General features: G+C 40.9%; 1 protein-coding gene across 17 annotated transcripts in view, besides 1 other annotated feature; it reads right to left on the bottom strand.

Annotated features, from left to right (window-relative positions):
- Positions 1 to 26,262, bottom strand: part of SPEF2 (sperm flagellar 2) — a 196,749-nt gene that overhangs the window by 3,655 nt on the left and 166,832 nt on the right. For 8 of the 17 annotated variants that reach the window (XM_011514135.4, XM_011514138.4, XM_011514139.4 and 5 more), the window contains 12 exons: positions 21,926 to 22,011; positions 21,582 to 21,799; positions 21,252 to 21,460; positions 21,033 to 21,156; positions 20,748 to 20,932; positions 18,511 to 18,617; positions 17,616 to 17,798; positions 15,162 to 15,254; positions 10,810 to 10,989; positions 4,005 to 4,250; positions 3,704 to 3,826; positions 2,915 to 3,318 (listed from right to left, as the gene is read on the bottom strand). In XM_011514135.4, coding sequence (XP_011512437.1) covers positions 3,226 to 3,318; positions 3,704 to 3,826; positions 4,005 to 4,250; positions 10,810 to 10,989; positions 15,162 to 15,254; positions 17,616 to 17,798; positions 18,511 to 18,617; positions 20,748 to 20,932; positions 21,033 to 21,156; positions 21,252 to 21,460; positions 21,582 to 21,799; positions 21,926 to 22,011 — 1,847 coding nt within the window. In that variant the 3' untranslated portion in view covers positions 2,915 to 3,225. Of the gene's footprint in view, positions 1 to 2,914; positions 3,319 to 3,703; positions 3,827 to 4,004; positions 4,251 to 10,809; positions 10,990 to 15,161; positions 15,255 to 17,615; positions 17,799 to 18,510; positions 18,618 to 19,381; positions 20,933 to 21,032; positions 21,157 to 21,251; positions 21,461 to 21,581; positions 21,800 to 21,925; positions 22,073 to 22,661; positions 22,857 to 26,262 lie in introns of those variants that run through there. The other 9 variants (NM_024867.4, XM_047417767.1, XM_024446219.2 and 6 more) reach the window with 6 other exon arrangements.
- Positions 21,134 to 22,333: an enhancer, noted in NCBI's record as "BRD4-independent group 4 enhancer chr5:35788726-35789925 (GRCh37/hg19 assembly coordinates)". NCBI's record gives its function as "activates an origin of replication core promoter dependent on BRD2, P300/CBP, MED14 and CDK7 cofactors, and independent of BRD4, by STARR-seq in HCT116 cells {active_cell/tissue: HCT116}" and the evidence as "EXISTENCE:reporter gene assay evidence [ECO:0000049][PMID:35650434]".

Here is a 26,262-nt window from a genome sequence, read left to right as displayed (position 1 = left end):
TTTACTGGCCTCTAATTAGATTCCTTGGTGGAGTGACCAGGAAGAGGTGTGGAGGACTTGAGGAGGGAGAGTTAAAGTAGATGACTCAGGTATATCTTAGAGAAGCATTCTGGCAATGAACTAACTCACTAACTAACTCTCTGCTATGAGAATGCCAGGTGCTACAGGTATTGTGAGACTGGTTAACAGAAGACAGACACCCTGCTGCTGGGTGGCTTTCAGCCAGAGGGGTACTGTGCATCAAGGAAAGCTTGGCAAATGTGCAGGCAGAGGTGGTTTTGGAGATCAGTATGTCAGGATGTTCCTGGAATACAGGGGGTAGGGCCTGAAATGTTAGGTATTCTGCCACACTTGGGACAGTTATCCTCAAAGAGGAACTGTGCTGCTCCAAATGCCAATAGTACTTCAGTTAACATTGCTAGTTGCTGACACTCCTTCAGAAATGAGGGGAATGTATAACTTAAAAGGAGTCCTCCAGCACTTTGGGAGGCTGAGGCGGGTGGATCGCCTGAGGTCAGGAGTTCGAGACCAGCCTGGCCAACATAGTGAAGCCCCATCTCTACTAAAAATACAAAAAATTAGCTGGGCGTGGTGGCAGGCACCTGTCATCCCAGCTACTCAGGAGGCTGAGGCAGGAGAATCGTGTGAACCCAGGAGGTGGAGGTTGCAGTGAGCCCAGATCATGCCACTGCACTCCAGCCTGGGCAACAAGAGCAAAACTCTGTCTCAAAAAAATAAAGTGGGGGAGTCTTATGGATGACAGGTTTCCTGGGAAGTCAGAACACCTATTCGGAAAGGCTAACTCTTGAAGGTAGCCATCTGTTGGCTATTTTCTTTTCTCAAGCAAATTGTCAAATAGAATCTTCTTTGCAAGTTCATCATATTTAATCACTCTGCTCAGAGTGAAGATATTTTCAAGTCATACTGATTTTGTGGGAGTTTTCTTTCCAGTATGAGAGGAAATAATTGTGGCATCATTTTTATGCTCCTACTTGTAATCAGCAATATAAAATAAGTCCTATTTTACATAATTCCAAAGGATTTTGCAAATTATTTTACTGGTTCAATGTAAGAGAGCTGTTCCCTGATATGTGGAGCAGGGAATGTAAGCTAAAATGCAGTCTAGAGAGATGGGCCTATGGAATCCACGTTGTGCAGGATGACATTATGGCACAATATCCCCAAGGAATGCTTAGGGATGAAGAAATTAACATCATATCATGCTCTGCTCAGCAGCCTGTTCATTCTCTCTTGCTTTTCAAATGGAATCCACATTTCCCTTTGTGACATCTGGGTTCTTCGCAATCTGGCCTGATCTGACCAATTTAATGGGATCATTTTATACCTTTCCCAGGCTATTCATGGGGTGGGGCTCCTGCAGTCCTTCTTCCATGCCTTCCCCAGACCTTGCCTTCACCCAGGACTCTGCTGCCTCCCTACCCCAACAGCAAAATCCATGTAGACGTCCCTTTCCCTCTCTCCACTTTCCCAAACCCTGGCTATCGTTCAAGACCTAGCTTATTCCTTCTTGGGCAGACTCCCTCCACACTTCCAGCACAAAAATGTCAAGTATTGAATTCCTATAATTTTGCACTTGGTTGGTTTAACTTATATCACTTTCTTGCAATTCCTGCATGTAAAAATTATCTTGCAAAAAGGAGTTAAATTTTTTTAGAGCAGTGACCAAATTATGTACTCAATTTTCTCTCTCCTATGGAAGCTTATACTACGGGTCTCAGTAGTAGGTGATCAGTATTGAATAGTACCCCTAACAGCCATCATTTCTGTAGCACTTCCCCTGTGTCAGATACCATGCCAAGTGCTTTACATGCATGACCTCACTTAATCCTCACCACCACCCTTTGAATATGAATGTTTCATCCCCATTTAACAGACGAGAAAGCCAGGATTAGGAGAAAGTTAAGGTCAGGGAGTTACTGAGGGGTAGACCTGAGATTCAGTCCCATGACCTGATTCCAGAGCCTGTGTTCTTACATGCTGTAATCATATTTCACTACTGCATAGGCTTCGTGTCTAAACAGCTGCTAGCTTGTTTTATATATATATATATATATGTAAAACCCAATTTTTTTACATATATATTTAAAAAATATATGTATATGTTACATACATATATGTATATATATTGGGTTTTACATATATACATATATACATATATATGTGTGTATATATATACATATAAATATATATGTGTGTATATATATACATATAAATATATATGTGTGTGTATATATATGTAAAACCCAATAGCAAAGACTTGGAACCAACCCAAATGTCCATCTATGATATATACACTGGATTAAGAAAATGTGGCACATATACACCACGGAATACTATGCAGCCATATAAAAGGATGACTTCATGTCCTTCATAGGGACATGGATGAAGCTGGAAACCATCATTCTCAGCAAACTATCGCAAGGACAGAAAACCAAATACCGCATGTTCTCACTCATAGGTGGGAATTGAACAATGAGAACCCTTGGACACAAGAAGGTGAACATCATACACTGGGGCCTGTCATGGGGTGGGGGAAGGGGAGAGGGATAGCATTAGGAGATATACCTAATGTAAATGACGAGTTAATGGGTACAGCACACCAACATGGCACATGTATACATATGTAACAAACCTGCACGTTGTGCACATGTGCCCTAGAACTTAAAGTATAATTAAAAAAAAAGAAATCAACTTCAGTTATACTAATACAGGCAATAAAATTAATTTTAATATTAATTAATAATTTAATATTTAAAAGGATCAGCAACTTAGAACAAAAACGTTTAGGCACACAGGAAGATATTTAAGTCTGAATAGTTTCATTTGTGGGTATAGGAAGAAAACTGCAAAATGTAACTTGCTATCATTGAGAAGTCAAGATACACAATCTACATTCTATCAAAGTGAAAGCGCTTTTATTTTCAACTCAGCAAACACTTTGTAGTTCAATACACAACTCACAGGAGTCAAACAGGGAGACTTCGTGTTAAACTGGTATCTGAGAGGGATGTAGTGCTACAGTATGAAAGGGGGTTGGTGTCAGCCTCTGCCCTCCTTAGTCCCTGCTGTTAAAGGCCTGGGACTCGCCATAGTGGATGCACATTTAGCATGTGTGGTCCAGACCTGCTTGGTGGTTATGTGATTTCTGAGTTGCAGTTCTTCCTTTCTTCTGCTGGGTTTGTCCAGTTTCTCTGGGGTTTGTCCTTAGTTTCTCCATCTTGCACACTGTTTTCCTGATGGAAGTGGTGCCCAACCTTTTGCACACACTATCATTTCCACTACATAGATGATGTGTACCTTGCGTGATTAGAGTACAATGAATATGTCAGCACTTGGCTGGAGATCATGGTCTTGGTTAGTTCTCTTTGGCAGGAGGAATCTTATTCTCCAAACCCTTCAATCACAGGCTAGGGTCATTACATGGCTACAATGACAATCCTAACACTGTCACCCACCCAGCTTTAACTACCACCTATCAAATGTGCCTGAGCTTGCTGCCCTTTGGGTATTTCAGGCTGACCTTTCTGGCCTGATGTGATTACCAGCTTAGCTTCTCCAGATTCTGGCCTGGCCTGGCAGAGTACAGCTTCTTTCTCTTCCATGCCAGCTCACATTTAGAAACATCCTAGCATGTCCTGAACTGGAGCCCAACCAAATTAGAGCACTTTGGGGTAATACTCACAGGAAACTTATAGTCTGAATAATTTGAAATCAGGTCTTGAATAAAAGGATGCTTCAAGAGAACAGCGACTTCAATTGGCTCCAGGTTCTTGGCACCTAGGTCTTGAAATGTTTTTATGAAGCCCTTTAAGGAAGAAAAAAAATGAAGTTAATCAACCTCACAATCCAGTAGATGTTAAAAAAAATGGTTGTATTTACTAAAGAGATTCTGTATAATTTCATACTATGATATATTTTGAGAGCAATTCCATAAAAATATGCTCAGAATTGAGGCCAACTTTTTTCAAAATAATTTAACCAACCTCTGCATAAATGTTCTCTATCTTTAGGTGGCTGGCAAATCTATTGGAGTCCTGTGCTTCACTTCCCCCTTTGAACACTTTGAGTAGTGTTTCCATGGACATCTTTTCATTGTTTGCATTTTCAGGGATTTCTTCATCCTTCTGTTCCCTTTTCTCCGTGTCGTCTTTTAATTTCCTTTCTTCTCTTGCAGCATTTTCCTCAGGTTCAGGAAATTCCTCAGCTGGACCTGCATCAGTTGAGGAGGTCTGCAAAGTTAAATGAAGAGAACATGAAGTTAAACTGAAGTTTTTTCCACCAATGGAGACTTTTAGAATATACCAATTTCATAATCACACACTTTTCATGAATGACAGAGCCTACCACAAACTAGCTAACCAGTCTAGAGGAGAATACACTAGCTGCCTTGAAAATTACAATGTCAAAATTCAAGACCAGTTTTACTTGTAGTGTATAGAAGCTTGTATAGTGTGGGGTGTGTCCTACACAACTTCATACATTCTTGGGCTGACTACCCTGCCAGGTACTTGTACCCCTGTATATAGATATAGATATACACATGTATATAGATTTTAAACAAGATTTGCTTTTGAAATTGAATGCAATTGAGAGGCTAAGGCAAGTCAATTGCTCTAGCTTGACAGATTCTAAGAGCTTCAGAAACATTTCTTTGGACACTGGAGGATATCCCAACTAAACACTCAGAAGGCAAAATAGAAAACAAATCCAGTGTACAAAATCAGGTTGGGATTTTTACTGCTGCTCTTTGAAATTTGGCCAAAAGCCATGAACTCAGGCACTCATGAGTATGGTGAAGAGTAAATTGTTTTGATTTCTTATGTATCAAAAGCCTGAATGTATATATTCTTCTTATGTATCCTATCATTGACCCAGTAGTTACAGAACTAGGAATTGATCCTGAAGAAATATTCATTTGCCCAAATACGTTTGTATATGGCTGTTCATTCAGTGTTACAGCAAAAATAGAAAACCTAAGATTCCAAAAAATGGGGGAATGGTAAAATAAACTCTATTTCTGCAATGTAGTATTACATTGCCATGAAAAATGATGGTTTAGCAGAATTCTTAATAACACAAGAAAACACTCATGATAGAATAAGTGCAAAAAGCAAGCAGAAAACAAAGTAGTACATGCAGTAGGACAGTTTGCTTATATATCTATTCTATTGATGAAAATGGAAAGCAGACGCATTAAGGAGTTAACAGTGGTGACTTCTGGATAGCGGAATAGACAATTTCCTTTGCTTTGTGCTTCTTACATTCTTTATAGTAAATTTGTGTGCATATGTGTCTGCATACATGTGTGTATGTATGTATGTTTCAATATTTGATAATTTGCCAAGAAAGAAAGGAGCATTTTGGCATTTTTGGCTGGCCAGATGTCACAGAACATCTGAGATCTGATCTCCTTTATTCCAAGGAAGAAAAAAAATGCTAATTTAGGAGGGTGCCAATGCTGTAAATATTCAATTCAGTAGAAGTATCAAGTCTATAGATTGTGCAACCTCTTTCTAAATAGTCATGTAAATCTCATGTATGGAAGGATTATGATGCAGCATAAAATTAAGCCTCTGGTAGTCATACGTCCCTATAAGGAATTTGGAGGGACAGTGGGCAGTGTAATGAAGGCAGGTTACATTTGCTATAGCTCTGTATGGTCACTTTGCCTTAGTTGGGTCTCTATATCCATTGTTAAGTTGGGAATTTAAGCTTGAAAAAAGAAAGAGAGAAAAAAAGACAGAGGGAATGCTCTAACAGGTGAAGATTTTGGAATCAAATATACATATTTATATAATTTTCCTGCAGGCTTTTGTCCACTTTAAACATCTGGAAATGCTACATGGCAGAAATGTAAAATGAGCTTTAGTATTTCCACCCAGGAATCTTGGGGATTATTGCATTGGCTACCCATCAATAATCTTCCAGGGCAATGAAACAGTTAGTGTAGTGAAATGAACATAGTTGTGATGTAAAACATCTTTCTGAGTGAGTCCAGGATGAATAAATTTCTATTCAGAGTGTAGCATAGGTTCTGTGTACCCAAGATAAACATAGAACCTGTAGGCAAGCAAACAATTAGCTGCTTAGATGAGCAGATGATACCAAAATTAAGCAAAGAAGGAACCTGGGCTCTCTGTAACTATTTCCATAATTAGGGGGAGAAACTTACTTTCCAAAGGCCTGATGTAAGCATAATGGAATAAATGATTTTTTTTTAAAATTTAAGAGGTAGCAATGTAAACATTTGAAATGTCAGAGTGAATAATCCTTAACTTATTAGTGTCAGAGGACTCTTTTTACATGTTTGCTATTTTTGATCTCTAGGGGGTTGGTATAGAATAGGCTTAGTGGCTCAGTGGGAGGGGAAGGAAGGGAGAGAGACTGAGATCAAACTGAAGAAGTTGGCATGGTCCTGCAGAGAGGGAAACGTGTGCAAGAGGAGGTGGTTCTCTCCAACAGAGTCTCTGAAAGCTGGTGATGTTGAATGTGGGTACAGGAACAAAACCAGTGAGGCCAATTTGGAGAAAAGCCAGTACTTTTGAATGAGCAATTATCAGTGGTATCAAAGCTCTACAAAAGTCACATTATTATCTAAGCAGGGGAACAGACTGTGGTGCTGTCAAGCACTATGTCACACTTGGCTAACTCTCAGGACTCCCAACAAATGTGTCCCCAGAGTGCTACCTGTGTGTCTTCCTGACCATGCATTTCTATCATTCAATCAGCTCAGTCCCACATCTCAGATGGCAGCACAGAGGTCTGGTCTTGGATTAATGTGGGCAAAGCCTCAAAGAGCAGAAGAGCATAGAAATGTATGTGTTTCTACCCCAGGGCCTCAAACGCTCCTTGCCAAGATGTTTTTACAAGACTTTTGCAATGTGAGAGATTCAAGCTCACAATTTACTAACCCCACGCCACACAGGTGGCAGAACGAACCATTTTCCCAAATGTCATTTATTTAAAGATCCACCTAGACTAGGGCATTACTGATGAATGCCTCGCTTTTAAGTTTCTTTTAAATTACCCAAGAAGCTGTGGCTTTAAGCAGAAGGCCTGAGCCGCATTGAATAAAATCAGCATGAATAGCAGAAATAGAGTAAAGAAGAATGAAATGCTGGGGAGATTTCCAGTTGTTTGTGGGGAAAGCAAAAGCAGAGATCTGATTGAATGGCTTGGGAGTGAATATGAATCTGCTAGAGGTGTTATTTCTGAGCATTATGGCTTCCTGGGACAGGGTTGCCCAGGAAACTGGAACACAGTGGAAATGGCACAGAAATGGAGTGCCACAGTTGGAGACAGTGGGATGAGGAGTGAGTGAGAATGAAGAAGGTGAGTGGCTTCTGTGTTCCAAGTGCTCCTAGGGTTCACTCCAAGTCAGGAACAGGCCTGTGTGTGAGAGAGAGCCCTGTGTTCCATCCCAGGCTCCACCTCCCACCCACTAGCTTAATCTCTGCAGCGCAGTGTTCTTGGTTCAGTTCCTCCACAGTGTCCTTGGATTTTAAAGGAGCTCTTGAGAGCAGCACTCAAGGAGAGCTGCTTCCCGGGTAGGAACACTAGCACACAGTGAATGCAGCACTCAGGGATGGAAGGCATTAAGCGTCTTCCTGTGCTAGCTAGCCTGGCTGCCAGCCTCAGGAGACAGCTGTCTGTTGCTATGGCAACAGCTCTAGCACAGGCTTCCTTTTTCCTGGCCTTTCCTGCTCATCTCAGCCTCCTGGACTCCGCTGTTGCCTCTGCCTGCCTGCAATGTCTGCTTTCCTCCTCTCTACCATGGAGACTAAACTCCATTCATTTCACTGTCCCTCTCTTCCTTCTTCACTTCTTTCCTGGCCATGTTCACAAATACTAATCAAGCACTGGCTATGTGGCAGCTACTTCAGAGGACATGAAGATGGGTAACAAGGTGTCCCAAACTCAAGGCAGGAACCATTTAGCAGTAGAAATAGATAAGTGGTCCCCTGCCTGAAGGCCTAGGTCTCCTTACTTCCCTCCTTTGCCGTCTGTAGTCTCTCCTCAACACAGAGAGATCCTGACTTAGTGAAGCCAGGTGACTGCACCCTTCCAATGACTTCTCATCCTGCATAGAGTTAAAGCTAAGGTCCCTGCAGTGGACCTCAGGGTCCTCTCCCTCTCACTTCCCTTCCCTGTTACTCTCCTTCAGCCTGGTCCTCTCCAGCTCTGCTGGCTAGCCCTAGTTCTCAGAGCACACCAGTTATGGCTGCTTTTGCACTCACTGTTGTCCTCACTTCAAGTGCTCATGCCCCAGGGACTTGCAAGGCTCTCCCCCTCACCTTCTTTGGGCCTCTGTTTGTATGTCTCTTCTCAGAGAGGGCTTTTCTGGCCACCCTAATGAACATTGCAACCCCTCTTCCAATGCCTGTATTTTCCCCCTGCATTCTTTTTTTTTTCCATAGAATTTATCACCATTCGATGTAGTCTCTGTTTTGCTTATTTGTTTATTGCCTGTCTTCCTCCTGCCTGGAATAATTTTTGTTCACTGCCATACCCCCGAATCGAGAGTGGTCCCCAGCACACGTAGGTGCTCAATAAATGTTTGTGGAAGCAGTGAATGTGTGTGTGTGAATGTGCTCCGCCCTGCCAGGGAAGTTCTGGTTATAACCTGGGCCTTGCTGAGAGAGTGCTCAGTGTTGTCAGGGGATGCTTCGTGAAAGATGTGGCATTGTTGTAGGCCTTGGATAATGGGGAGGCCTCGGATCCTTTGAGATGAGATGAAGAGTATGCCAGGTGGAGAGAGTAACAAGAGTAAAGACAGAGAGGCAGGAAAGGAGAGGGCATCCACACCTCTTCTGGCTGGCAAGGCCTCACGTTAATCTGCCTTTTATTCCATGCTCCCCCCTGTTTGGGGCATCATTCATTCTTTTCTATATGAATGAGGCCAATTAGAGTCCCTTCAGGAGAGCAAGTTTGGCTTCTTTTGTGTTCCTCACGGGACCATGCAAAAAGCATAATTTACAAAGTGAATGAACTAATTAATTGATCTATTAATGAATGCAATGTTTACTGAGCTCTGTACCAGGCCTTGCCTCAACTTCAGGGATGCAGAACAAAACAGATGCCTCCTCCCCACCAAACTCCTGGTCCACAGGGTGCTTAGAGTCTAGAGAGAAGCAGATCTCAAGGAAGTCATTGCCAGGTGAGGAGTATCTTGTAGGGGAAGCAGGGTGCACCATGGGAACATATAGCAGCGGGTCTGACATCATTTGAGGTGAGGGAAGACAGACATTAATGAGACCTCACAGCACGCTGTGATCTGGGCTTAGATCATAGATCCAGAGTTAGTTTAGGGAACTCCCATCTACAGAGAGATACAGAAACATCCCTGGGAAAGTGGCAAATGCAGTGCCCGTGAATGCACATCATACCTAACTCCTCACTTATTTGGGAATTTTTTTTTTTTTTGAGATGGAGTCTTGCTTTATCACTGAGGCTGGAGAGCAGTGGTGCGATCTTGGCTCACTGCAACCTCTGCCTCCCAGGTTCAAGTAATTCTCCAGTCTCAGTCTCCTGAGTAGCTGGGACTACAGGCACACACCACCACATCCAACTAATTGTATTTTCAGTAGAGATGGGGTTTCACCATATTGGTCAGGCTGGTCTAGAACTCCTGACCTCAGGTGAGCCACCCGCCTTGGCCTCCAAAAGTGCTGGGATTACAGGTGGGAGCCACCACACCCAGCCCCTTATTTGGGAAACTCTTAAACTGGGCTTCTACTGTCAAAGAAGGCAGAATTCTTGAATGGAAATACACACTCCAGGCTGAACTTTCTGCCACTGTGTGTTGAACCACTTTTTACAGCACACTGGTTTGAAGAGTTGTTAGCTCATTAGATATGTATCTGGCCTCACTCTGGCTCTAGTGGAATGGGAAGGAGATCTTTCTGTCCACATGCTCAGGGCCAAACTTTAGGGTGGCATTTAAGAGTTTATCTCTTCCCTCCCATGAATGCAGTTACAGGAACCTCCCATTCATTCCTTTCAGACTATTCTACTTTAACAAGTATGTGTGAAAAGGATGGAAGTGTGTCTGGAACATCTGAGGAGTCTCGACTGGGCAGCAATCTTTTCCCCTCTGTTTCTACAAAGGAAAAACAGAACCAAGCATCCCATCAGATGGATCCACTGCTCCAGCCCCCAAACAACAGAACCAAAAGCCATGCCAAGAACAAATGGGCACCTAGGAAGCACATTACCTAGCACCCTGTTGGAGACTATCCCATCCCAAAAGCCAGGGAATGCCAATGCCTGAGAGATCTCAAGGGGAAGGTGAGGTGGCATTTTAATCAGATATTAAGCTTCTTTGTCCTTGGACACAGGTGATATGAAATGCAGGTTTCCAGTGGCCGGGCTTTGGTCTGAAACACTACCAAGCCCCATATATGTGGTGTGCATGTAGACCTGAACTTGTTTCATCTACAGTTTCTACACAGAATCCCAAATGGATTGGGTTGATACCCATTTCTGTTTCATTTATCAGGATCAGCACTCATGCCAAATAAAGGCCATCCTTTATAGAGTAAAGTTTGATTCCACCAAGACACTTTGAATAAATCTTGATTTTACCACAAAAATCTTTGATGGCAATTGGGTCCCCAGGTCTTAATCCAATTGAGTAAGGCTTTGTTGAAGACCTAGTATGTGTAAAGCATCATATTACACACCTAGGAAAATACGGAGATGAAAATAATAGAGTCCTTGTTGTCAGTTTAGGATCTTCAGGCATCCCCTCTAGACTCTATAGTTAGTCTATTTCTGGAATGCAATTACCTTTTCTGCACTTGGAATGGAAGCTTTGACTTGTTGGAAGACATGAGTTCCAACAGCCACACTGAGGGCCCTGTAGACTCCTTCCACGGTGTCTGGGTGGCAAGCAAAGTAAAGCAGCATCTGTGTGTAGTCAAGCTGGGGTGGATCCTTCTCATAGTCAGCAAATAGCCTAAAGAAAAACTGCACACAAAAAGAATTCCAAAGATAAAATGGGTGCACTCTCATAGTCAGTAGTTAGTCATGCAATGAAGAATCTCCCCAGGAGCTTTGGAATAAGGTTGCCTTCTGAGGATTGAATTAGTAAAGCTAACATATAATGAATGGTATGAACTGAATAATATTAAGAAAAAAAGCAGTAAAAGTGGGGCCCTGAAATATTGTAAAAGAAATATTGTGCTAATTAATGCTACTAACATATTTAGGAAATACTGTACTAATTAAGGGTAGTGGGGGACTGCACATTAAATAGGAAAAGAGAGCCACAAGCACAAGGACCCATCTATCTGTCCTCAGCATTCTCCGGACAAACTAGGCCCTGGTCCTAAATATGAGGCTTCTGTTCCATCGGTCTCTGTGGGGAGTGAAAGGAGGGAAAGAAAATGATGCCTAAAGCCACTGGGATTCTAGCCATTAAAAAGTCTTTAAACTGGTTCACCTGCTCTGGACTTCATACTCAAGCTACTGACCCTAGTTGACTTCACATCCAGGCAGAGAGCATACTAAACACCAAATATCAAATCAGCAATTTTCTCACTCTGAATGCCTGAGCTGACATTGACACAGGGTCTTGTGCATTTGGCAGCATGAGGAGTTAGTGCCTGGGAGTCAAATATCCTCTGGGGCCCTCCAAAGCAGAGGCCCAAGCCCTGGAACACATAGGCCACACCCAGGCACATAAGCAGCCCTGTCTGGGGAGACTGCTACCTTCTAGCTTTTCTCAAATGTATATTTATGACCTGGAGAACCTTTTTAAAATGTGAATTCTGGTTAAGTATATGGTGCTGGACCTTCTAAGGATCTGCATGTCTAGCAAGGTTCCAGGTACTTTTAATGTTGCTGGTTCTGGCTCATACTTTGAGAAGCAAGTTCCTAGAGTCAGAGGGTATTTCCTCTATGTTATTTGTTACCAAAAACCCTTACAACTATGAACAGGTTTAACTAGGCATAAATGAAGATAACAGGTGGGAAAATAATTTCCGATATTTGGAAAATCCAACAAAAATTTAAATAATGTCTCAAAGAAATGAGAGAGGCCAGGCGTGGTGGCTCATGTCTGTAATCCCAGCACTTTGGGTGGCCAAGATGGGCAGATCACTCCAACTCCAACAGAGTTGGAGACCACTCTGGCCAACATAGCAAAACCCCATCTCTAATAAAAGTACAAAAATTAGCCGGGTCTGGTGGCGGGCGCCTGTAATCCCAGCTGCTCGAGAGGCTGAGGCAGGAGAATTGCTTGAACCCGGGAGGTGGAGGTTGCAGTGAGCTGAGATCGTGCCACTGCACTCCAGCCTGAAAAAAAAGAAGAAGATAAAAGAATAAATAAAATAGGTAAACTATGTAGTGATTATGAAAACACAGAAAAAAGAGCAGGCCAAGGAAAGGGAAATTGAGAGTGAAGAGTGGAGAGGGGGCTAGACAGCAAGATTGAGATTAAGTTTGACCAATGACGTGGAGGAGGGCAGGGAGTTAGCTGGGGAAGACATCCAGGGGAAGAGCATGACAGACAAAGGGGCTGCTGAGGCTGAACTCCCAAGGTCGGGGCAGGCCTTGCATGCTTGATCAACAATGAGCAGGTCAGTGTGGCTGAGCAGAATTGGCAAAGGGAGCATGGCAGGAGGTGAAATGAAAGGCAACAGGATCAGAATGCACAAGGCCTGGTTGGACACGTAAGGATTTGGGCCTTTCCTCTGAGTAAAACACAGAGCCACGGAAGTTTTGAGCGGGGGATGCTGTGATTTGATCTGCAAGCTGGGTGAAGACAAAGCATAATCAGGGAGACCTATCACGAGGCCGTTGCAGTCATCTAGGTGAAGCTGATTGTGGCTTGTTCCAGGTGATGGCAATAGGGCTGGGAAGAAGTGGTCTCATTCGGGATTTACGCGTTTTGAAGATAGAACTCTCAGGATTTCCTAAGGTATTGGATGTGGAGTTTGAGAGAAGAGAGGAACTGGGGATGACTCCTGGGTTTTTGACCTGAGCAACTGGAAGGATAGGGTTGCCATTGACTGAAATGGCAAGAGGTTACGGAGGACCTGGAGGTGCAGATCTGTGCAAGTTTCCACAGCAAGTCCTGGCAGCACTGGGAGCAGAGCCAGGGCTTCTGGCCTCCAGGATTTCTAATGTGTCCATTTCTCTCCGATTTGGTATTTCTTATTCTAATTACAGCCAAATAAGTAAACAAACATCTTTTGTTGTTTGACGTTTTATCTTTGCCCACCTTTCTTAAGCAGGTTAACCATTAACCACTGTTTAACCATGTATAGTTAACCTGTTTTGCTTGTTGACTGACACATAGGACTTATTATGTGCCAATCGCTGTTCCAAGAGTACCACACACAGGAACTCCCTCTGCACAACAGCCCCACCAGAGAGGGATAAGAAAGCAAGGCGCAGAGAGGTTGGGTAATGCCATGGATACCTCACAGCTTGTAAACAGTGAAATCTGTGCTTTTATCCCAGTGTAAGAACATTGAGATTTATGTAACTTCTGAGCATTGAGTCTCAGAGACACCCATGGGGCGGATGGAAAACACCACTTCTTTCACCTTTTCTGTCATATGGACATCACACACACACACACACACACACACACACACACACACACACACACCCGTCAGCCATCTTTGTTCCATAACAACATGTTTTGCTCAGTCTCCACAGTCCTGCCTCTGCTGCTGACTTTGTTCCTTTCCTCCCTGTAATCTTCCAGCAGCAGGTGGGAGCCACCTGCTCCAAAAGTACTAAAAGGTCCTTTTCTGTTTTGCTGCCAAGTGAGCAGCTCAAAGATTCTGCCTTTGATTGACATTTCTAAAAAACTTCTGGCTGAAAATGAAAGTACTTTTCACTTGGCATAATATTCAAACTGCCAGTTGCTTCCAACTAATGAAGAACCTGTTTATGTTGATGGCAGATTTGTTCATAAAAGCATATACAGACCATTCCAAAACGCTCCAGGATAATTGGTTTTCAGTCCCCCAGTTTCACATTAAAAACAACAACACACAAAATACTGCCCCTGCAACTGCCAACCTTATGTCTTGGACTTTTGGGTAACTCTCTGACCCTTTCTCTTACCTGCTCTCCTGCTAGCATCTAGCAGAGGTGCTCAAAAAATATGCATCCAATTGAAGGAAATTGCTCCATTTAAGGCTGCAACTGGAATCTTGCTCAATTTTGTACTGCAATTTGGAACTAATGGCTGGCTAGAAATTGAACAATCTATACATTATACAGAGTTCACTGTGATGTCTAAATCTACCATTCAGTTTTTTTCATGTCTTACTGAGGTCAGAGTAGCGTTGAGATTTTTTTTTTTTTTGAGACAGTCTCGCTCTTTCGCCCAGGCCTGACTGCAGTGGCGCTATCTCGGCTCACTGCAAGCTCTGCCTCCCGGGTTCACGCCATTCTCCTGCCTCAACCTCCCGAGTAGCTGGGACTACAGGCGCCCGCCACTGCACCCGGCTAATTTTTTTGTATTTTTAGTAGAGACGGGGTTTCACCGTGTTAGCCAGGATGGTCTCGATCTCCTGACTGACCTTGTGATCAGCCTGCCTCGGCCTCCCAAAGTGCTGGGATTACAGGCGTGAGCCACCGCGCCCGGCCGCATTGAGATTTTTAAGGTCTGGCTTTTTATTGTGGCCTCAGAAATAGAGGCTCATAAGATGCTATTATTGAGGATAATAATAATAGTGAGAGCAGCAAGCTCTGATGGGCTATGGGCAATGCTGTAGGCAAACCCTTGCTGTATTAGTCAAAATCAAAGAGAAATGGACATTGGTAAAATGACAAATTTTATCCTAAGCTTTTAGAATTGGAAGGAAGCTTAGAGACAAATGTGTTAAAACTTAGCTTATTTGACAGACGAAGAAGATGAATTCTGAGAGGCCATGGAATTTTCCAGGATCACATAGAGAGTTAACAGTAAGGCTCTGAGATTCTGGCCCCTGCCTCCTCCCCAGAACTTCTCTACACTGCCTCCTTAGTGAGCTAACTTAAGGTCTGCACTTTGGAGAGGCAGCAGAGGAATTGAGGGGCAGGGGTGCAGTCCACAGCCAAGTTACATAAGTGGAAGAAAACACAAAGAAAATGATTAGTGCTATAATGCCACATGTTTTAAAGATCTCAGTCATTACCTCTATAAGATGCTCCTGCCTATTAAATGGAAGGGGTTCAAGAGGATTTTCTGGAATTTTTATATCTTCATCTCCTGTAAACCACAGACCAGCCTACATAAAAAATAAAAATGAAAATTGTTAAAGTATGTATTTTGCTGAGATGTTCCTCTAAAAGCCACAGAGACTGAGCCAATCTTGTCTCTAGAGCAGTTGTCTCCCAAGTAGGATGCAGAAACCACAGGGGTGTAGGAGAAAATACTAGAACTTCCATTTACATTTCTTTTTATCTCATTCTTACATAATTTTTATTTTTACATCTTTGATTATGTTCATAATGTATTAGTGCTGTAGTATATGTATATAATTTATAAATAAGTATCCATAGATTAGGAGTGCTGGCTATTTTTAACGATTGGATCGTGTGATGACGCTTGGAGGCTGCTACCCTGTATTAATCTTGCATTAGTCATATTTCGGAGGAGTCTGTGCCCCCATTAAAAATAGCTCATATTCCTTATGTCCTGTTCATGTCCTATCTGTTTGTGGAGACTTGCATGGTGCTGGTGTACATTGCTAGTTTTAGAAAACTCTTTGTTAAGTAACTGAATGACTGACTCAAGATCTCGGTGACCTCTTATTCATGACGTCCCTCTGTCTCAGTGTATAACTGACACCAATTAGAACTTCATTTCCGCAATGCAAGCATACTATTTTACTGTCCTAATGGGGCGTTTTCGACAAATCTTATAAAATTTTGACCTAAAGTTATTTTGATTTTTCCACTGAAACAACATTGTGGGGGGAGGGGCAATGAGCTGGCAAGTGCTGACAATCTGTGAAAGGCATGCAGGCTGGTCAAGTGGGCCTTTTCAAATGGGGGTTTCAGAGGAGGGGGACCTGAGGGCGGAAGGGCAGAGGGCAGAGCTCAGAAAACAACTGTTCCTAAAACACAGGTAGTGTTCAAAGAAGTATTGCTGAGTTTCTCTTAAACACAGCATCCAACTTTCTCTAAGAAACTCACACCTTTGGTAAAATAGTTTTCTGGTTTTAGCTCAGCACTTTGGTGAAAATTGCCAACACCCTTTGTTCTTCTCATGTTTGTGCAAAAGGACGTTCAAATTGATATCCTATGTTAATTGCCACATACAATAAATAGCGAAGGTCAGTAATTTCACGAGTGCGCACTTTTAAAAATCTTAAGACAGCTATGGAAACAGAGTAAGTTTTGCTCTGCTGCTTTTGTTTTCAAACAAAACCACCTTAACAAATTGTAAATCTACTTGGAAAATAAATGTAGCAGAGCTCAAATAACTGAACACCTGTCTTGATCAGCCCTGAAAGAGCCTTGTCATAGTTTGTGTTTTTCCTTCTGGCTCAACTCCATGAGCCTGGAAACCTCAGAGCTCTCTCAAAAAAAAAGAGGCCATGCATTAAGGAAGAAAAGGGAAACAGGAAGGGGTATGATTGGTGAAATTCATGTGAGATGCAGGCACCTGGAAAGTATTACTCTGTTTCAAAGTTAGCTCCTTCTGAAAGTTTCCCTATTTCATGTCTACCAGCAATGTGAAATGGTGTGAGCAATATAATGACATTAATCAAGTAAGTAATTCAGGCCCCTCTCAGTTATGAAATTTTGTTTTTACTCTTGTCTTACTCAGACTTCTAAAAAATCAGTTGACTTTTCTTGTCCTCACTTCCTAAAGACCCATTCATGTCCTCAACCCTCTGCCATCTAACTTCTGTACTTATTATTCCACCAAAATTTCTCTAGCACAGGTTACCGGTTACATGCCACCTGCCACGTCCAGTGGCCAACTATTACATACCCTACTGGGTTATCCATTACTTTCCTTGAGTGATCTCATACATTCATAAATTCAATAACCACTTACATGATATTGACTCATGATCCCTTCTGTATGGGCCATATTAGATTGGACATTTCTCTCTTCATTTCCCACAGATATTTCAAACTCAGCTTCTCAAAAATAATCTCATCATTCATCACCCTCTCACCCCAAAGAAAAAAAACCTGCTCCTTTCCCTGTGTGTGTGTGTGTGTGTGTGTGTGTGTGTGTGTGTGTGTTTTAACCACTGTTCTTTCTACGCTGGGAGCTTAGAGTATTGGACATTGGACCTATTAAAAGCTTTGCAGATGATTCTAATGTACAGCCAAGGATAAGAACTACTGGTTAGGAACTCAGGAGAAGAACAATAAAGTTTATGTAACTGCTTTCAGAACCTTTTGTTCTCCTGGAAGTTCTGACTTTTTCAGATCTTTTCCCTGGGGATGGAAGCCAGGCTTCTGGCTGGGGCTTTGACACTGCCTGTGCTGCCTCTGGGTGCCTAGACATGGGGAGCTGAGAAGCAATGCACTGGCCTGAGACCTGTCAATGTAACATCATTGAGTAATTCACTTCTTAGGTCACAAGTGTTCTGGTGTTATCAATGCCATCAGGTGCTGGTAACAACCTGCATATACTGCTCAAAAGTGATGGTGCCCAACTGCTCCTTATCCACAGCCTTGAACTTCTGAAGGGTCTCAAGGAGCTCCTCCTCCAAGGGAATGGGCCAAGGCATTGAGGTTACTAACAGGAACTTCCGCCAGTCCACGAACTCGGAGTTGACTGTTAATAAAGATGTTAATTCCTGTAACTAGAAGAAAACAGGAAATATCTTTGGAATATCTACATGAATCTATCTTGATGCTCTACTTGCTCATATTTTCATAGTGAGAGTTTCCCATGAAAGAAGTAGGACTTTTCACTGGCACATAGAATCAGTTCTGACTTTTGTTTCCTTTATTCTACCAACCATCCACACCAGAAAGCACCTAGAAAGTGTTTCATTTTTTGCTTCCTTGACATTTGTGATTTTTGCTTACCATTATACCATCAATTACACACATCACTCCAGTTAACTTTGTACCTTTCCAACAGAAGAGAGACAAAAATTATAGCTGTGCCTGTGCAAGGGCTTTGTGGCCCATGGGGGAATGCTCTTTAAGCATTTTGTTTTCTGAACATTCTTAAGGAAAATGTTATGATGAAAAGCAAGAACAACCAGAATTATCTACTATTACTAGTTAGGATCATTCCATTTGGTAATTTTAGATAGAAACTCACTGGTTGAACATCACAGTCTCTATAATATTTCACTGACAGATCATCACTTATTCTTCAAATATTGAGCATATGCATATTATATGTTTTAATTGGAAGTTCATTCATTTTTCATTCACTCACATTTCATTGATTGCCTACTAAATGTCAGACACTATGCAAGTACTCATTATTTTAGAACTATTGATGCATTGATCAAATAAGAATGCTTAAAGCTTTACAACTCAAACAACATAGAAGCTTACTTCAGGTTGGGTAAGGTGCATCCAATTACTAGGAAAGTTGTTTGTGCCAAGGTTCAGGGTCACCAAATCGATCAGAATGTCAGTAAATGCTTTATTTCCTATTATGCCTATAATACAATGAAAAATATTTTGTCACTTGGTTTAGGTGATGGTTTTTCTCTTCTTTTGCTAAAATAGAAGCAATGAGTATTTTAAAACTCTCTTTATTCATATTATATAAAATGGTAAGTTTTAAAGAAACAGAAGACATTTTGGAAATATAAAAATTATAATTTCCTGATGCTCTCTCATTATTGTTTCTCAACTAAGTCAAAATGCCTTTTTTGGCTTAGTAATAATTAAATCCAGATTGAGTAAAATTATAAAACTGTATACTTTTTAGTTTAGAGTCTTCTTTGACTTTTCACTCAGAATAGGCTAAATTTTTAAAAAATATATATGATTTTAAGGTTTCCTACATGCTGTAGGGCACAAGAGTAAAATATTTTGGCAAATATTAGATAAAAGTGTTCCAAATGCATGCAGATCACCACTACAATCAAGGTAATACATTTATCCACATCTTGCCTTTTGGATCAGACCATATTTGCTTTTGTAAATCTAGAGAAATTTGAACTGTTAAATTACTGGATTGAAAGTGCTAATTTAGTCACCTAATTGGCTCAGTATTCCTAAGTATTTCATGAAAGACTACTAACCTTTTAAAATCTTTGCTCTTATGAACTAACCTACTTAACTCAATTTAAAAGAGATGTCTACCTTGTTTTTCACTTCAAATTGCATGCACAAGCATTAAGAAATAAATAAGAAAACAAAATAAATGAATCTGCTTTTAAAAAAAAATGTCTGGCTAACCAACACAAAGAGGTACCTTCTAGAACAAGGAGAGACTCCTAATGTGTATCCAGGGATCTTTCAGGTCCAGAGTACATAGCTATTCTTTGTTTTAGGAATAAAAAGAATGAAACATAGACACACTATCCCAAGGTTTTCTTTTTACATCAAAGTTTTTAGCATTTCTAAAAGTCCACATGAACTTTATCATTTCCTCTAACCTCCAGGGAAATGCAATAATCCTTCTAAAATCTCAGTGCTTCGAATCAAATACACAATTTTGAGATCTGGAAGGTAATTTTCTGGGTAGCAAGAGTGAAACCTTTCTTCTTTGATATAATTGGCCATCCAGCAGGCTGTTCAGAAATACATTCTGTATCCTTTTTCATCAAACCTGAGTATCCAGTTTTATAGACATGAGAGCATTTTCCCAGATAGCAGAATTTTCAGTGAACTGAGGTTTATAAGATCCTATGTGGGTTTTTAGCTAAGTCAGACATAAATTAGTTATGTTCTTCAAGCTACAGCCATTAATAGAATCCACTGAAACCGTGAAGAGGCTCAAAGCATTTTAAAAATCTTGTAAGCTGCAATACATTTCCACAATCTCTAATGGATACGGGGCAAAACAAAGTGTTATAAGACAGTACTTACAGTTTACATAAGAATTGTTTACCTGAGGATTTAGCATGAAATGTGAAAACTGTTTTAATATTTGCCTTTGTTACTTAAATGGCCAAAGCATGTAGTGATATGGTTGCAATAACATAATTACATAAACTTATAAATTTTGTTCACAGATGAAAAGAGAAGCTCTCTTTCAATTTGACTCTAAGTTAATTACCTAATGCAACTATCACTTAGAATTATTGAGGAAAAATAATGAATTGTATGCCAGGCCTAAGGGAACTCAGACCGTAATCATAGTCTGGTCACCCTTAGGAATAACTGAAAAAAATGACATCAAAATAACACCATTGTGTAGCAGCATACAGCTCCACCAAAAGAGTGTGAAAGAACACAGGAATACATAAGTGAAGTTAGAAAGCTATAGAAGAAACAATCTTGGGCTTTTTACTCTGTATGTTTGGAAGAAGCCAAATGCCTTTTGTTTGATGTGAAGAGAAGTTACTGTTTTACTTTTAAATTCCAGGCTTCTGGAAACCATTTATTTTATTTTATTTTTTACTATGCAAAAGAGCTACATTGCTAAGCAACAAAAATGTCAACATTTGCATATTGCTAATCACTTTCATTTTCTGAGTTTGATGAGCAATCTGAATTAGATCTTGTGTCACCAGTTGAAGACGGTGTTCTTGCATTCCATAAATGGATAGCTTTCCTAGGGTCAAAATTATTAATGTCTGGAGAATTCAACTGAATAATTAGGACATCCGTCATACTTTCAGCCTTGATTTTTGCATGCATATGTGACTTGGTCCATTTCATCTGACTAAAGCCATGTTCTGCTTCAGCTGAACTTGCAGGAAGGGTCAACACTAGGTCGACTAGTGTCAGGATATTTGGATACTTGTGTAAGTAAATGGAATTCACAAAATCCCAGGTCAATTTTCGAATGTTCTGAAATCTAGGAGGGAGGAGAAGAAATGTAAAAGATTGAGACTCCCAAGTTTTACCCAAACATTTATAAATATCCACCACTTTCCTCAGCTTGCTTTCTTGCTTACCTGGCATAAATCTCTAATTTCAACATGCTCCATTCAGTATCCACTTCACTAAGTTTCACATTGGCAGCTTCTAATACTGGTTCATAATGTGCAGTCAGGATGGATACCTCTTTTTCTCCAAATTCTATAATCAAGATGCCAAAAATAGTCACATATATAAAAGAAACTCACACAGACCATGGGAGAATAATAGGTTCAAAGTCAGCACATATAGATTACCTTGATTTATCTTTGTGGGCCACAATTTAAAACTTCCAATCACGGTAGCCCTCACCACATTTTGGCTGGCATCTCTGAAACAGCCTTGAAGTCTCTTGATAAGATGTGTTAAAACAATGTTTCTCACAGCAGAAATGTTTTCTTTCCCTCTGAGGCAGTTACCATGAAAGTGTGTGGCTGAATCCACCATGCGTTCTTTTGGCCCTAGTCTGGGGAGAAAAGAAATCACCCAAATAACAACTAACAAATTAAATGAAGAAACATCTGGCAGATAATTTCGCAAGTCAAACTGTCTAGTTTGACAGACCTCAGATCATCCCAACCTCTCACCTTGTTTGATACATTTGGAGCATTTCCAGCATTGACTCTAAAGTGGCAAATATGTCAGCAATTGAGGAATTTCTATTCTTATTGACACAGGACAGAATGCTAAGGACATTCATGACATCCAACAAGAAGTGGGCAAATTTAACAATGTCAGCTTGGAGAAGGGACTCCAGAAGTTCTTTGGGTTTCTTTTGACTGGTGTCACTTTTGCCTCTGCCTGCCTGTAACACAGGTTGGGAACAACATAGTGGTTATCTTTCCCAAAATTATTATTCCAAGGAGCTCAAGGAAAGTATTTTCTGTGATTCTGAAAAAGCAAAATAATACGATATTTCAAAATTACTTACTGAGTGCAGTTGCCGAACAATTGCAGGATATCCCTTGAGAAAGTTCTGGAGGGCTGCCTGTAATCCATGAAGCCACTTCCTGTCTCCTATTTGAGAAGGCATCACAGGTCGAAGGTGAAGGCCTTTGAAAGCAGTTCTCAGAGCACTCTTATGAAGAGGAGAATTGTGATAAAAGTGATAAATGCTGTGAAGGAGGTCTTTGACATCATTGTACAGAGGAATGTTCTGGAACACCGCTTTGTAAGATAGTTCAAGGTGATGTGCAAAGCAATATACAGTTTGTACACATGGTTGTATTTCTCTTAATAGTAGGGCCACCTCGTTGTTCTCTCCCTCTATGCTATGGGTACCATCACTTCCAAAACCAACCAGCTTCTTTGCCCAGTCTTGGCTCGACAGTCTAAGTTGAAGATTTATCTCTAGAGTTTTCTCAATGGCATTTTTTATTGCCAGAGGATCATTTCTTTCTACTATCTGTACCCCAACAATTTGACAGTGCACCTTTCCTGCATGTGCAAACTGCACATAGACAAGTTCGGCTTCTTTGATTAAACTGTCTATGATTCCATCACTGATGACAGAGAAAAATTTACTTTTTTCTAATTTCTCTCTTAGATTTTTTCGTTCTACTTCAGCAATAAAGTATGTAAACATTCTTGCTGATTTTTTAGTTCTGAATACTGGGCCAATATCAACACCTTTCATATCATCTAATTTGCACATCCAAATAAAATCTTTGAGGGGACGTCCGGTCTTGGCAATAGCATGGCATGATCTGAATAAGTTCTCTACTCTCCCGAGGGTTACTTTGCTCATGGTCCTCATCATTAGTTTGGTGGTGGCTCTGTTCACTGGAGAGCTACTTGTTGCTTCCATTAATGAGGCCTTGGCATGAGCCTCGCTGAGATGATGTGCATTGAGAAATTCAGTCCTAAAGTTGTCAGTACCATAAAAAAAATTCACTTGACTTCCCCCTGACTTCACTCCATGCTTACGACACAAGGCGCAGAACATAAGATTTAATAGCTCATCATATATAAGCCATGGATATTTTTTAAGCCAAATTTTCAAAAATTGATGGCTTCTTTTTGGAAGATAATGGTCAAGCTTCTGCGGCCTTTTCTGCTTTTCGGTGACTCTATTCACACCATCCGAAGGATTCCTGCCTTTAAAATAACTCCACATTGTTATTTTAAGTAATCCCAATTTCTACCCTCAGTTTTGCTTAATCTCTGACCCCTACATTTGCTCACTAGTTTTTGAAAAATTTTATGGAGTGCTTATTAATTACCAGGCATTCTGTTAAGTGCTTTAACTAGTTTATATCACAGAATCCTCACAAACCATTACCCCTATTATATGGTTCAGAAAATGCACTGACTATTATTATCACCGTTGCATGGATAAGAAAGCTGGTGCACAGGGAGGTTTATTAAACTGTCCAATGTTGCAGTGCCTGTAAGTGGTGGAGCGGAGTTACACCAGTAGACCGACACTCCACAGCCTGTTTGTACACTTCCCTCTTACACGCGTCTTGTATGAAGAAAGGAGTGCTATGCTCTTCTTCACTTTAGAATCCATTTCTCCATACATAAGAGTGACATGGCTTTTAGCTAAAATTTTCTTCCCTTGGTGAGAAAAAGGAATAATAGAGCATACATGGTAGTGTGTCTGCAAGGTCTGCCTTGGACATCCCTTCCCTCCTGCCTAAGTCCTACCTTCTGTTGCAATGCCACAGCAAACTTGTTAATTTACCAAAAAAAAAAAAAAAGGGTGTGAAGCTTTGAAATCCTTGCCAGGTGGTTTTGTAAAGGAGCTGTGCCTCATGCCTCATCTTTTTCTTTCCCCCAAACGTCTAATTTTTGAGACATATTTGATTATTTGTCACACAAGGGGACATATATTTATCTGAACAGAAGGATAAAAAACTAAAAACTACACAAAACAAAGTCCTCAAATACCAGTTTCTCCCTGAAGGCAGAGAGCCTAGATCACATATATGTGTTCCTTCTACACATTCTTTGATGCTACTAATCATTAGATTATGTTGTCCTGTTTTATCATATAATAAAAAATTGAATATATGTGTTTATTAAAATATTTCATGACATATATTCTCTTTTTTTGTCAATACTTTATGGTTCTAGGGTTTGACCCCTCTGACTAGAACTAAATAATGTGCTTCATAATGTCTGGCTGACTGCTAAGCACTTGGTAGATGTTTAAGAAAATTAATCTCCTTTCCTAATTGGTTTTCATGATTTCATATCTCAATCCCTTTTAACTGAAAACCTTGACATTAGTTGACCTGCCTCTGCCTTTCATACCTTATTTGGGTCTAACTTCTCCTTTGCTTTTTTTGTTTTTTTTTGAGATGGAGTCTCCCGCTGTCGCCCAGGGCTGGAGTCCAGTGGCACGATTTTGGCTCACTACAACTTCCGCCTCCTGGGTTCAAGCAATTCTCCTGTCTCAGCCTCTTGAGTAGTTGGGAATACAAGCAACTGCCACCACGCCCGGCTAATTTTTGTATTTTTATTAGAGACGGGGTTTCACCATATTGGTCAGGCTGGTCTCGAACTCCTGACCTCAGGTGAACCACCCACCTCGGCTTCCCAAAGTGCTGGGATTACTGGCGTGAGCCACCACGCCCAGCCTCTCCTTCGCTTTTTAATCAGTCTTTTTGCGGCTCTGGTTAAAATAGAACCCATTTTTGCGATTCTAAATGTTACTGTATTTCATTTAAAATTAGTCTCCTTGTAGTTGACAGCTACTGCCTGCATTTTCTTACTCAAGCATTGGGCTACTTGTCAATCTTCCGTATTAGGCCAGTTGCACTACACCTGGGGGCTGCTCACATAATGCTGGTGAATAAATGAATAAAGAAATGAAAAAATAAAGTCTCTTTTTGTTAAAGTCTCTTTTTGTCTCTGTCTCAGAGACAGAGGGTACACATTCAGAACTCTGGGCTGTAGTGGTTAAGCTAGATCATTCAGCAGCATGGTTTTTACAGGAGTTCAAAGGCAGAAGTAGCTACTGTTGCCTATGTGAGTCAGCGTGAGGGTTAGCCCAGAGGCTTTTGAAACTGAACTTTCCAGGAAGAAAAGCAGGGGAAGGGTATTCCAGGCAAAGGGGAAAATGGAGCAGCTGCGCAGATTTTGAAATTGCATGACACATTGAGGGAGCATGGTAGCTCATGGCTGTACTCTCAGCACTTTGGGAGGCCGAGGTGGGAGGATCACGAGCCTAGGAGTTCAAGACAGAATAGGCAACACAGTGAAACCTCATTTCTACAAAAAAAAAAAAGAAAAGAGAAGAAAATTAAAAAAACAAATTAGCTGGGCATGCTTGCAGGCACCTGTAGTCTCAGCTACTTGGAAGGCTGAGGTGGGGGGGGGTTGTGCTGAGGCTGTAGTGAGCCATGATTGTGCCACTGCACTCTACCCTGAGCTACAGAGTGAGACCCCATCTTAAAAAAATTATAAAAATTTAAATTTAAATTAAAAAGTAAATTTAAAATTAAAATTAAAATTAAAAAAATTTAATTTCCAATATTGATTTTGCTAGTTTCAAAACAGAATTTTAGTTCTATGGACAGATTTTCCTAAAGATATTACCTTGAATTCTGAGTATATACTTTCATTTGTCTAACGTAAGTTGTCTGGCTTCAGGAAAATACCTGTGTGTTTCATTCTGAAGACACATTTGAAACTCTACTCATAAACAGTTTTAACAGATCTAAAGCCTTCTAGATCCACTACTGCATTTCTGTGATCTGAATCTGATCTGGTGGAAAGAATTCACCCATTGAAGGAAGCAAAGGCAGGTGGGGGCCATAGTCCTCTTTGCTGTAATCCCTATATTTTGCCACTTGCTGTGATAATTCTGTCAATAACACCTATTCTTCTATATCATTCCCTTCTCTAAGAAATCTTTCTGTACTTCTTGATTTGGGTAAATGTCAGACTAACTTAGACAATTTTCAGATCAAAATACTTACCTGCAAATACATAATATTGTATTTTTATAATTTTCTCAGAGGCACTAAGCCTGGAAAAATCCATAGAACTTTCTAGTTACTCCTTTCAGGCAACCAACCACTCAGGTGCCCTTATTCCTGCCTCTGGGTTCTCTGAGGCTTTGCAGAGAGACTGACAGTGCCTGCCACTCTCTCACACATATAGCCTCTTCCCTGCTCCAATCCATTCTCCATGACACTTGGCTCTAAATGCCTTTGAAAATCCTCTCCTGCATGTTCTTTGCAAGCCACTGGAGACTTCACAACCTGACCACAAGCTCTCTGTGGTCCCACCTCCTGCCTCTTGTTTGTTCACAGTTCC

Source organism: Homo sapiens, chromosome 5 (assembly GCF_000001405.40).
Source record: "Homo sapiens chromosome 5, GRCh38.p14 Primary Assembly".
NCBI lineage: Eukaryota > Metazoa > Chordata > Mammalia > Primates > Hominidae > Homo > Homo sapiens.
This window is presented reverse-complemented; position numbering and strand designations above follow the sequence as displayed.